Genomic DNA, 13924 nt, shown 5'->3' with positions numbered 1-13924 from the left:
TTTTCATGATATTGATTCCTCCTATCCATGAGCATGGAATGTTCTTCCATTTGTTTGTATCCCCTTTTATTTCATTGAGCAATGGTTTGTAGTTCTCCTTGAAGAGGTCCTTCACATTCCTTGTAAGTTGGATTCCTAGGTATTTTATTCTCTTTGTACCAAGTGTGAATGGGAGTTCACTCATGATTTGGCTCTCTGTCTGTTATTGATGTATAAGAATGCTTGTGATTTTTGCACATTGATTTTGTATCGTGAGACATTGCTGAAGTTGCTTATCAGCTTAAGGAGATTTTGGGCTGAGATGATGGGGTTTTCTAGATATACAATCATGTCATCTGCAAACAGGGACAATTTGACTTCCTCTTTTCCTAATTGAATGCCCTTTATTCCCTTCTCCTGCCTGATTGCCCTTGCCAGAACTTCCAACACTATGTTGAATAGGAGTGTTGAGAGAGGACATCCCTGTCTTGTGCCAGTTTTCAAAGGGAATGCTTCCAGTTTTTGCCCATTCAGTATGATACTGGCTGTGGGTGTGTCATAGATAACTCTTATTATTTTGAGATACGTCCCATCAATACCTAGTTTGTTAAGTTTTTAGCATGAAGCGTTGTTGAATTTTGTCAAAGGCCTTTTCTGCATCTATTGAGATAATCATGTTTTTGTCTTTGGTTCTGTTTATATGATGGATTACGTTTATTGATTTGCATATGTTGAACCAGCCTTGCATCCCAGGGATAAAGCCCACTTGATCGTGGTACATAAGCTTTTTGAGGTGCTGCTGGATTTGGTTTGCCAGTATTTTATTGAGGATTTTTGCATTGATGTTCATCAGGGATATTGGTCTAAAATTCTCTTTTTTTGTTGTGTCTCTGCCAGGCTTTAGTATCAGGATGATGTTGACCTCATAAAATGAATTGGGGAAGATTCCCTCTTTTTCTATTGATTGGAGTAGTTTCAGAAGGAATGGTACCAGCTCCTCTTTGTACCTCTGGTAGAATTCGGCTGTGAATCTATGTGGTCCTGGACTTTTTTTGGTTGGTAGGCTATTGATTATTGCCTCAATTTCAGAGCCTGTTATTGGTCTATTCAGGGATTCAACTTCTTCCTGGTTTAGTCTTGGGAGAGTGTATGTGTCGAGTAATTTATCCATTTCTTCTAGATTTTCTAGTTTATTTGCATAGAGGTGTTTATAGTATTTTCTGATGGTAGTCTGTATTTCTGTGGGATGGGTGGTGAGATCCCCTTTATCATTTTTTATTGCATCTATTTGATTCTTCTCTCTTTTCTTCTTTATTAGTCTTGCTAGCGGTCTATCAATTTTGTTGATCTTTTCAAAAACACCAACTCCTGGATTCATTGATTTTTTGAAGGCTTTTTTGTGTCTCTATCTCCTTCAGTTCAGCTCTGATCTTAGTTATTTCTTGCCTTCTTCTAGCTTTTGAATGTGTTTGCTCTTGCTTCTCTAGTTCTTTTAATTGTGATGTTAGGGTGTCAATTTTAGATCTTTCCTGCTTTCTCTTGTGGGCATTTAGTGCTATAAATTTCCCTCTACACACTGCTTTAAATGTGTCCCGGAGATTTGTTGTGTCTTTGTTCTCGCTGGTTTCAAAGAACATCTTTATTTCTGCCTTCATTTCATTATTTACCCACTAGTCATTCAGGAGCAGGTTGTTCAGTTTCCATGTAGTTGAGTGATTTTGAGTGAGTTTCTTAATCCTGAGTTCTAGTTTGATTGCACTGTGGTCTGAGAGACAGTTTGTTATAATTTCTGTTCTTTTACATTTGCTGAGGAGTGCTTTACTTCCAACTATGTGGTCAGTTTTGGAGTAAGTGTGATGTGGTGCTGAGAAGAATGTATATTCTGTTGATTTGGGGTGGAGAGTTCTGTAGATGTCTATTAGGTTGGCTTGGTGCAGAGCTGAGTTCAATTCCTGGATATCCTTGTCAACTTTCTGTCTCATTGATCTGTCTAATGCTGACAGTCGGGTGTTAAAGTCTGCCATTATTATTGTGTGGGAATCTAAGTCTCTTTGTAGGTCTCTAAGGACTTGCTTTATGAATCTGGGTACTCCTGTATTAGATGCACATATATTTAGGACAGTTAGCTCTTTTTGTTGAATTGATCCCTTTACCATTACGCAATGACCTTCTTTGTCTCTTTTGATCTTTGTTGGTTTAAAGTCTGTTTTATCAGAGACTAGGATTGCAACCCCTCCTTTTTTTTGTTTTCCATTTGCTTGGTAGATCTTCCTCCATCCCTTTATTTTGAGCCTATGTGTGTCTCTGCACTTGAGATGGGTCTCCTGAATACAGCACACTGACGGGTCTTGACTCTTTATCCAATTTGCCAGTCTGTGTCTTTTAATTGGAACATTTAGCCCATTTACATTTAAGGTAAACATTTTTATGTGTGAATTCGATCCTGTCATTATGATGTTAGCTGGTTATTTTGCTCGTTAGTTGATGCAGTTTCTTCCTAGCATTGATAGTCTTTATAATTTGGCATGTTTTTGCAGTGGCTGGTGGTACCAGTTGCTCCTTTCCATGTTGAGTGCTTCCTTCAGGAGCTCTTGTAAGGGAGGCCTGGTGGTGACAAAATCTCTCAGCATTTGCTTGTCTGTAAAGGATTTTATTTCTCCTTCACTTATGAAGCTTAGTTTGGCTGGATATGAAATTCTGGGTTGAAAATTCTTTTCTTTAAGAATGTTGAATATTGGCCCCCACTCTCTTCTGGCTTATAGAGTTTCTGCCAAGAGATCTGCTGTTAGTCTGATGGGCTTCCCTTTGTGGGTAACCCGACCTTTCTCTCTGGCTGCCCTTAACATTTTTTCCTTCATTTCAACCTTGGTGAATCTGACAATTATGTGTCTTGGAGATGCTCTTCTTGAGGAGTATCTTTGTGGCATTCTCTGTATTTCCTGAATTTGAATGTTGGCCTGCCTTGCTAGGTTGGGGAAGTTCTCCTGAATAATACCCTGCAGAGTGTTTTCCAGCTTGGTTCCATTCTCCCCGTCACTTTCAGGTACACCAATCAGATGTAGATTTGGTCTTTTCACATAGACCCATATTTCTTGGAGGCTTTGTTCATTTCTTTTTACCCTTTTTTCTCTAAACTTCTCACTTCATTTCATTCATTTGATCTTCAATCACTGATACCCTTTCTTCTACTTGATAAAATCAGCTACTGAAGCTTGTGCATGAGTCACGTAGTTCTTGTGCCATGGTTTTCAGCTCCATCAGGTCATGTAAGGACTTCTCTACACTGTTTTTCTAGTTAGCCATTCGTCTCATCTTTTTTCAAGGTTTTTAGCTTCTTTGCGATAGGTTCGAACATTCTCCTTTAGCTCGGAGAAGTTTATTATTACCGATCATCTGAAGCCTTCTTCTCTCAACTTGCCAAAGTCATTCTCTGTCCAGCTTTGTTCCGTTGCTGGCAAGGAGTTGCATTCCTTTGGAAGAGAAGAGGTGCTCTGATTTTTAGAATTTTCAGATTTTCTGCTCTAGTTTCTCCCCATATTTGTGGTTTTATCTACCTTTGGTCTTTGATATGGTGACGTACAGATGGGGTTTTGGTGTGGATGTCCTTTCTGTTTGTTAGTTTTCCTTCTAACAGTCAGGACCCTCAGCTGCAGGTCTGTTGGAGTTTGCTGGAGGTCCACTCCAGATCGTTTGCCTGGTTATCACCAGCAGAGGCTGCAGAACAGCAAATATTGCATAATGGCAAATGTTGCTGTCTGATCCTTCTTCTGGAAGCTTTGTCTCAGAGGGGCACCTGGCTGTATGAGGTGTCAGTCAGCCCCTACTGGGATGTGTCTCCCAGTTAGGCTACTCGGGGGTCAGGGACCCACTTGAGGAGGCATTCTGTCCATTCTCAGATCTGAAACTCCGTGCTGGGAGAACCACTACTCTCTTCAGAGCTGTCAGACAGGGACGTTTAAGTGTGCAGAAGTTTCTGCTGCCTTTTGTTCAGCTATGCCCTGCCCCCATAGGTGGAGTCTACAGAGGCAGGCAGGCCTCCTTGAGCTGTGGTGGGCTCCACCCAGTTCGAGCTTCCTGGCCGCTCTTTTTACCTACTCAAGCCTCAACAATGGTGGATGCCACTCCCCCAGCCTTGCTGCCACCTTGCAGTTCGATCTCAGACTGCTGTTCTAGCAGTGAGCGAGGCTCCGTGGGCATGGGACCCTCTTAGTCAGGCGCAGGATATAATCTCCTGGTGTGCCTTTTGCTAAGGCTGTTGGAAAGCGCAGTATTAGGGTGGGAGTGTCCCAATTTTCCAGGTACCATCTGTCACGGCTTCCCTTTGCTAGGAAAGGGAATTCCCCGATCCCCTGCGCTTCCCAGGTGAGGCGATGCCCCGCCCTGCTCCGTGGGCTGCACCCACTGTCTGACAAGCCCCAGTGAGATGAACCCGGTACCTCAGTTGGAAATGCAGAAATCACCCTTCTTCTGCGTCGCTCATGCTGGGAGCTGCAGACTGGAGCTGTTCCTACTCAGCCATCTTGACATCAACCTACTCAGGCTTTTTCTAACATCTTCCTTTTCCCACTTAAATCTGAAGTATTTAACATAAAAAATGTATCCATTATTATGGTAGGGGACATAAGAGAGAATATTATATTGGCTCAAACATGAAAGAGTGTGCAATATAAAGAGGAAAGTAAAATATGTTGAAAACTACTCTTCCATTCTTTAATATCCACATTTCTTCTCCCACTTGTGTAAGAGTAACTGCCATGTTCATCTTTCCCTCTCTTTAATAATCTTCCTCTTTCTCCTCCCACTCTTCTTCTTTATTTCTCTCTCTGCCTCTTCCATCTCTCTCTCTCTTTTTTTTTTTTTTGAGACAGAGTTTAGCTCTTGTTGCCCAGGCTGGAATGCAATGGTGCGATCTCAGCTCACCACAACCTCCGCCTCCTGGGTTCCAGCAATTCTCCTGCCTCAGCCTTCCTGAGTAGCTAGGATTATAGGCATGCACCACCACACCTGGCTAATTTTGTATTTTTAGTAGAGATGGGGTTTCTCCATGTTGGTCAGGCTGGTCTTGAACTCCTGACCTCAGGAGATCCGCCTGCCCTGGCCTCCCACGGTGCTGGAATTACAGGCATGAGCCACCGTGCCTGGGCCTTTTCCATCTCTTTATCCATATTCCCTAAACTCTTCCTTAGCTCCCTAGAGTTAGAAATAATGATGCTGTGACACAAACACAGCAGGTTTTCAGTGTATTATAGATGATGGACTGAAATGTGTATTTTCATTCTGACTTCTCTCTTGAGTCTACTAGACATTTATATCCACCTGCTAATAAGCATCTCTTGCAGTCTCCTGGCACCTCAAACCAATATAGGCAAACTTGTATATACTGTCTTTTTCCTCCCATCTATTTCTATGTTACTCTTCTCGGTGGGTGGGACCATTATACACTGTTTATCAAGCAATGCATACTAAAATTCTGTCCTACTACGTACAGTTTTCTGAATAAAACCATCCTGTAAAATGCCTTCTTACATTTAAGCAAATCTTTACTGTTATTCAAAATAATATGAGCACATAGACTTTTTAAAAATCAGTGAATATACACATTGGAAAGCTGAAGTGGGTGGATCACCTGAGGTCAGGAGTTTAAGACCAGCCTGGCCAACACAATGAAACCCCGTTCCTACTAAAAATACAAACATTCGCCAGGTGTGGCGGCACATGCCTGTAGTCCCAGCTACTTGGGAAGCTGAGGCACAAGAATCACTTGAACCCAGTAGGCGGAGGTTGCAGTGAGCCAAGATTGTGCCACTGCACTCCAACCTGAGTAATAGAGCGAGAATCTATCTCAAAAAAAAAATAAAAAAGAATCAATGAATAATAAAAGACTATTAACCAGGTGCAGTGGCTCACACCTGCAATCCCAGCACTTTGGGAGGCTGAGGCGGGCAAATCACAAGGTCAGGAGTTCAAGACCAGCCTGGCCAATATGGTGAAATCCCATCTCTACTAAAAATACAAAAAGTTAGCTGGGCATAGTGGCGGGCGCCTGTATCCCAGCTACTCGGGAGGCAGAGGCAGGAGAATCACTTGAACCTGAGAGGCGGAGGTTGCAGTGGGCTGAGATCGGCGCCACTGCACTCCAGCCCAGTGACAAAGTGAGACCCTATCTTAAAAAAAAAAAAAAAAAAAGACTATTAAAAATGGCAAATCTCTGACCTGTGCCTCTCCATCTCTTAGTGGGAACTGTTTTTAACTTACCAAGCTGCTTCTTCTGGTATTTACCTTTTTTTTTTTTTTTTGAGAAGGAGTCTTACTCTGTCACCAGGCTGGAGTGCAGTGGCACAATCTCAACTCACTGCAACCTCCACCCCCCCAGTTCAAGTGATTATCCTGCCTCAGCCTCCCGAGTAGCTGGGATTACAGGCATGCACCACGACACCCAGCTAATTTTTGTATTTTTGGTAGAGATGGGGTATCACCATGTTGGCCAGGATGGTCTCGATCTCCTGACCTCCTGATCTGCCCACCTCAGCCTCCCAAAGGGCTGGGATTACAGGCATGAGCCACCGTGCCCAGCGTGGTATTAACTTTTATAATTGTAAGTAAGATGCCCATTGCTACTTCTCAAATTATCAATTTTTAGACTACTTGGTATAATTAGCTATCTTTTTTTTTTTTTATTGAGACAAGAGTCTTGCTCTGTTGCCCAGGCTGGAGTTCAGTGGAACAATCTCAGCTCACTGCAACCTCCACCTCCTGGGTTCAAACGATTCTCCTACCTCAGCCGTCCTATCTTTTCTTAAATAATCTTTTGTTTTCTCTGAATAACTGCTAAGCTTTTTTAATTGCTTAGTTTTTTTATGTACCTATATCAGATCTGTAAAACACCTGTAATTTCCAAATACCTGAACATATTAATAGATGTACTGATTCAAATATTCTTTTGGTTTCTTCCTAGCCTCTTGCTTCAATCCTAACTGCTCTAAGTTGGTATGTTCTGTTTCTGTGAATCATGTCTTCCTCTTCTCATCCTTCTCACTTATGTTGTAAAATCATACACATACTCCCCTGGCTTCCTAAGAAGTGGGACACAGAATGAAAATGTTTTAATTCCTTACATTTGATATTTGATTGATCGTTTAGTTGAATATAGAATACCAAGACAAAAATCTTTCCCTCAGGATTTTAAAGACACTATTTCAGTATCTGCTAACTTCCAGGGTTGTGAGAAGTCTGATGACATTCCAATTTTCCTTCCTTTGTGTGTGATGTATTTCCCTTCTAGAAGAGTTAAACATTTTTTTCCTTAACTCTTGGAATTCTCAAATGCCACAGAGATGTTACTTGGTTTGGTCCTTTTTCATCATTGTACTGGGGTCTGAATGACCTCTTTCAAACTGGAAAATGTTGTCCAGGAAAATAATAGTACCTATACCATGGGACTATTGTGAAAATTAAACAAAACACTTAGTATACAGTAAGTACACAATGATGCTGATGATTAATATTTTTCCAAATTTGCCAATTGATTTGATTATTGCTTCTTGCCTCTCAATCCTTCCTTTGAAGTTCAACTTCCTTCTTCAGAAAGTACATACTCAGGCCACGCATGGTGGTTCGTGCCTGTAATACCAGCACTTTGGGAGGCTACGGCAGGCAGATCACTTGAGATCAGGAGTTCGAGACCAGCCTGGCCAACATGGTCAAACCCGACTCTACTAAAAAGACAAAAATTAACCAGACATGGTGGTACATGCCTGTAATTCCAGCTATTTGGGAGGCTGAGGCACAAGAATCGCTTGCACCTGGAGGCTGCAATGGACTAAGATCATGCCACTGCACTCCAGCCTGGATGACAGAGTGACACTCTGTCTTGGAAAAAAAAAAAAAGATACTCAAACAATTTTTCAGTAATATGTGCTCTTTAATGGTTAACTGAGAAGGTGGTAAGCTTCTCAGTTGTTTGTCTAAGACTGCAGTTTTTAATTGTAATTTTGGAATAATTTCAAACTTACAGCCGAGTTACTAATACAGAACAGAAATCTCCCATGTATCCTTCACCCAGATACGCTGTTAAAAGAATATCTATACAGTAGTTCCCTCTTAACCATGAAAGATAATGCTCCAAGGCCCTCAGTGTATGCCTGAAACCATAAATATTACCAAACTCTACATAAATTATGTTTCTGCCTACACATTAACCGACGGGTAGCATATAGAGTAGATACACTGCACAAAGGGATGATACATGTTCCAGATGAGACACAGCATGACGGTTCAAAATTTCATCATGCTACTCAAAATGGCTGCAATTTAAGAGTTATGAATTATTTCTAAAAATTTCCATTTAATATTTTTGGACCACAGTTGGCCAAAAACTGAAACCAAAGAAAGCAAAACCACGAATAAAATGGGACTACTGTATTTTTTCCTTTATTCTTGCACGACAGTTTAGCGAAGTATAGAATTCTTGGTTGACAGTGCTTTTCCTTCAGTTCTTTGCAGAAGACCTCTATTGTTGCTGATGAAAAGTAGACTATCAATCTAATTCTTGGTCATTTGAATACAAAATTCTTTTTTTGTGATAGGTGTTTTGAAGATTGTCTTCGTACTTGGCTCTGATTTCACAGAATCTCTAGTTTCAGATTCATTTTTATATATTTAGGACTTTTACCTGTTTCTATTCTGCTATTTAACCCACCTATTAATTTTCTCCATGACTCTTTTAGTTCAATGATCATAATTTTCTCTCTCTTTTTTTTTTTTTTGAGATGGGGTCTTGCTCTGTCATTCAGGCTAGAGTGCAGTGGTACAATCTTGGCTCACTGCAACCTCCACCTCCTGGGTTCAAGCAATTCTCCTGCCTCAGCCTCACAAGTAGCTGGGACTACAACAGGCGCCCACCACCACGCCCAGTTAATTTTTGTATTTTTAGTAGAGATGGGGTTCCACTATGTTGGCCAGGCTGGTCTCAAACTCCTGACCTGAGATGATCTGCCCGCCTTAGCCTCCCAAAGTCCTGGGATTACAGGTATGAGCAACCGCGCTTGGCCAAATGATAATTTTCATTTTAATAAGTTCTATTTGGCTCTTTTACAAATTGACCTACTATAGTGTCTTAGTCGTTTATTTAGACATTTTAAATAGATATGTTTTTCTGATTATTCTGTTAAGTCAATTCATAATCTTCTAATTACCCTTTTTGTCTGACTCTCTCTCATGTTGGACTGTTTCCTTATCATTATCTTACCATAGAAACTGTTTTTCCTGTGCAAGTCCAGGTCTCTCTGTTTGAAAAAGCATTCTTTTTTTTTTTTTTTTTTTTTTTTTTCAGACAGAGTCTCACTCTGTCACCACGCTGGAGTGCAGTGGTGCGATCTCAGCTCACTGCAACCTCCACCTCCTGGGTTCAGGCAATTCTCCTGCCTCAGTCTGCCGAGTAGCTGAGACCACAGACGTGCACCACTACGCCCAGCTAATTTATTTCTATTTTTAGTAGAGACGGGGTTTCACCATGTTGGCCAGTATGGTCTCGATCTTCTGACCTCATGATCCACCCGCCTCGGTCTCCCAAAGTGCTGGGTTTACAGGTGTGAGCCACCACGCCCGGCCTGAACAAGCATTCTTAAAGAGCAGTTCACATTTGCTACTGCTTCGAAATTCACAAGGTCAGGCTCACAAGTTGCAGTGTACATTTTAATTTAATTCCTTGGCTTGAGATTCCTGTACCACATGGATATTATATGTTCATACTGCACACTGGTATGTAGGTACATATTTGGATCGGCAGTATGGTGTACTGGTTTAGAACGTAAGACTCTGAAACTACACAGCCTAAGTTTGAATTCTGGATCCCTCCGCTCAGTATCTCTAGGATCTTGGGCAAGTTACTTAATCTTTGTATGTTCTAGTTTGCTGCTCTACAAAATGGAGCTTATGGTAGTATTTTCTCAAAGATTTATGTGAGGATTAAATGAGTAAACATATATTGCTTAGAAAATGAAGTCTCAACAACTCTACAACTTCATTTGCCAACAGGATGGGGCTCTACCTCATTTCTATCACAGTTGCAGAGATTCTTTAATGAATACCTATCATGGTAGTAGACAGGCATTCTGCTCAAAACTCTGAACTGCCTACGAAACACTAGCCGCCTAGATTCCCATCTATCAGGCCATTATATTTCTAGTGAGGCTATATAAACAAAACAATACAAAACTAGAGTTGGGACCGCCATGTAGACTTGAGGAACTGATGGCATTCATCATGGCTATCACTCCAGCTATCACTGATGACATGCTACGAAGGGTTTGGGATGAATCAGACCACAGGACTGCCATGTGCTGGTGTTAACAAGAGGTGCCTACTGGCCAGTACAAAAATAACTGTGGTTGTCTTTTACAAACTGGTGGTGATTACTTGTTCATATATAACACAGTTACTAAATAATAACTTTTTAAAAAATGTTCATGAAGGGGGTGGAGCCAAGATGGCCAAATAGGAACAGCTCCAGTCTGCAACTCCCAGCGTGAGCGACGCAGAAGATGGGTGATTTCTGCATTTCCAACTGAGATACCGGGTTCATCTCACTGGGGAGTGCCGGACAGTGGGTGCAGCGCACTGTGCGTGAGCGGAAGCAGGGCGAGGCATCGCCTCACCCCGGAAGTGCAAGGGGTCAGGGAATTCCCTTTCCTAGTCAAAGAAAAGGGTGACAGACAGCACCTGGAAAATCGGGTAACTCCCACCCTAATGCTGTGCTTTTCCAACGGGCTTCACAAACGGCACACCAGGAGATTATATCCCACACATGGCTCAGAGGGTCCTACCCTCACGGAGCCTCGCTCATTGCTAGCACAGCAGTCTGAGATCAAACTGCAAAGTAGCAGCGAGGCTGGGGGAGGGGTGCCCGCCATTGCTCAGGCTTGAGTAGGTAAACAAAGCAGCCTGGAAGCTCGAACTGGGTGGAGCCCACCACAGCTCAAGAAGGCCTGCCTGCCTCTGTAGACTCCACCTCTGGGGGCAGGGCACAGACAAACAAAAGACAGCAATAACCTCTGCAGACTTAAATGTCTCTGTCTGACAGCTTTGAAGAGAGTAGTGGTTTTCCCAGCATGCAGCTTCAAATCTGAGAACGGGCAGACTGCCTCCTCAAGTAGGTCCCTGACCCACGAGCAGCCTAACTGGGAGGCACCCCCCAGTAGGGGCAGACTTGACACCTCATGTGGCCGGGTACTCCTCTGAGACAAAACTTCCAGACGAACGATCAGGCAGCAGCATTTGCGGTTCAATAATATCCGCTGTTCTGCAGCCACCGCTGGTGATACCCAGGCAAACAGGGTCTGGAGTGGACCTCCAGTAAACTCCAAAAGACCTGCAGTTGAGGGTCCTGACTGTTAGAAGGAAAACTAACAAACAGAAAGGACATCCACACCAAAAACCCATCTGTACGTCACCATCATCAAAGACCAAAAGTAGATAAAACCACAAAGATGCGGAAAAAACAGAGCAGAAAAACCGGAAACGCTAAAAATCAGACCGCCTCTCCTCCTCCAAAGGAACGCAGCTCCTCACCAGCAACGGAACAAAGCTGGACAGAGAATGACTGACGAGCTGACAGAGGAAGGCTTCAGAAGATCAAACTACTCTGTGCTAACGGAGGAAGTTCGAACGAATGGCAAGGAAGTTAAAAACTTTGAAAAAAATTAGATGAATGGATAACTACAATAATCAACTCAGAGAAGTCGTTAAAGGACCTGATGGAGCTGAAAACCACAGCACAAGGACTATGTGACGAATGCACAAGCCTCAGTAACCGATGCGATCAACTGGAAGAAAGGGTATCAGTGATGGAAGATGAAATGAATGAAATGAAGCTTGAGGAGAAGTTTAGAGAAAAAAGAATAAAAAGAAACGAACAAAGCCTCCAAGAAATATGGGACTATGTGAAAAGACCAAATATACGTCTCAATGGTGTACCTGAAAGTGACGGGGAGAATGGAACCAAGTTGGAAAACACTATGCAGGATATTATCCAGGAGAACTTCCCCAATCTAGCAAGGCAAGCCAACATTCAAATTCAGGAAATACAGAGAACACCACAAAGATACTCCTCGAGAAGAGCAACTCCAAGACACGTAATTGTCAGATTCATCAAAGTTGAAATGAAGGAAAAAATGTTAAGGGCAGCCAGAGAGAAAGGTTGGGTTACCCGCAAAGGGAAGCCCATCAGACTAACAGCAGATCTCTCGGCAGAAACTCTATAAGCCAGAAGAGAGTGGGGGACAATATTCAACATTCTTAAAGAATTAAGAATTTTCAACTCAGCATTTCATATCCAGCCAAACTAAGCTTCATAAGTGAAGGAGAAATAAAATCCTTTACAGACAAGCAAATGCTGAGAGATTTTGTCACCACCAGGCCTGCCCTAAAAGAGCTCCTGAAGGAAGCACTAAACATGGAAAGGAACAACTGGTACCAGCCACTGCAAAAACATGCCAAATTGTAAAGATCATCAAGGCTAGGAAGAAACTGCATCAACTAACGAGCAAAATAACCAGCTAACATCATAACGACAGGATCAAACTCACACGTAACAATACTAACCTTAAATGTAAATGGGCTAAATGCTCCAATTAAAAGGCACAGACTGGCAAATTGGATAAAGAGTCAAGACCCGTCAGTGTGCTGTATTCAGGAGACCCATCTCATGTGCAGAGAAACACACAGGCTCAAAATAAAGGGATGGAGGAAGATCTACCAAGCAAATGGAAAACAAAAAAAGGCAGGGGTTGCAATCTTAGTCTCTGATAAAACAGACTTTAAACCAGCAAAGATCAAAAGAGACAAAGAAGGTCATTACATAATGGTAAAGGGATCAATTCAACAAGAAGAGCTAACTATCCTAAATACATGTGCATCCAATACAGGAGCACCCAGATTCATAAAGCAAGTCCTTAAGTGACCTACAAAGAGACTTAGATTCCCACACGATAATAACGGGAGACTTTAACATCCTACTGTCAACATTAGACAGATCAATGAGACAGAAAGTTAACAAGGATATCCAGGAATTGAACTCAGCTCTGCACCAAGCCGACCTAATAGACATCTACAGAACTCTCCACCCCAAATCAACAGAATATACATTCTTCTCAGCACCACACCACACCTATTCCAAAATTGACCACATACTTGGAAGTAAAGCACTCCTCAGCAAATGGAAAAGAACAGAAATCATAACAAACTGTCTCTCAGACCACAGTGCAATCAAACTAGAACTCAGGATTAAGAAACTCACTCAAAATCACTCAACTACATGGAAACTGAACAACCTGTTCCTGAATAACTACTGGGTACATAATGAAATGAAGGCAGAAATAAAGGTGTTCTTTGAAACCAACAAGAACAAAGACACAACATACCAGAATCTCTGGGACACATTCAAAGCAGTGTGTAGAGGGAAATTTATAGCACTAAATGCCCACAAGAGAAAGCAGGAAAGATCTAAAATTGACACCCTAACATCACAATTAAAAGAACTAGAGAAGCAAGAGCAAACACATTCAAAAGCTAGAAGAAGGCAAGAAATAACTAAGATCAGAGCAGAACTGAAGGAAACAAAGACACAAAAAAGCCTTCAAAAAATCAATGAATCCAGGAGTTGGTGTTTTTGAAAAGATCAACAAAATTGATAGACCGCTAGCAAGACTAATAAAGAAGAAAAGAGAGAAGAATCAAATAGACCCAATAAAAAATGATAAAGGGGATATCACCACCCATCCCACAGAAATACAAACTACCATCAGAGAATACTATAAACACCTCTACGCAAATAAACTAGAAAATCTAGAAGAAATGGATAAATTCCTTGACACATACACTCTCCCAAGACTAAACCAGGAAGAAGTTGAATCTCTGAATAGAACAATAACAGGATCTGAAATTGAGG

At 41.9% G+C, this 13924-nt stretch overlaps 1 protein-coding gene across 11 annotated transcripts in view, besides 1 other annotated feature; it reads right to left on the bottom strand.

The window, feature by feature from the left end:
- Nucleotides 1–13924, bottom strand: part of CDC42SE2 (CDC42 small effector 2) — a 184621-nt gene that overhangs the window by 46119 nt on the left and 124578 nt on the right. The gene's annotated exons all lie outside the window — the stretch shown is intronic.
- Nucleotides 10122–11321: an enhancer, noted in NCBI's record as "BRD4-independent group 4 enhancer chr5:130672926-130674125 (GRCh37/hg19 assembly coordinates)". NCBI's record gives its function as "activates an origin of replication core promoter dependent on BRD2, P300/CBP, MED14 and CDK7 cofactors, and independent of BRD4, by STARR-seq in HCT116 cells {active_cell/tissue: HCT116}" and the evidence as "EXISTENCE:reporter gene assay evidence [ECO:0000049][PMID:35650434]".

The sequence above is a fragment of the Homo sapiens genome, chromosome 5, assembly GCF_000001405.40.
Source record: "Homo sapiens chromosome 5, GRCh38.p14 Primary Assembly".
NCBI lineage: Eukaryota > Metazoa > Chordata > Mammalia > Primates > Hominidae > Homo > Homo sapiens.
Note: the sequence above shows the minus strand (reverse complement) of the source record. Positions and strands in the feature narration are given on the sequence as shown.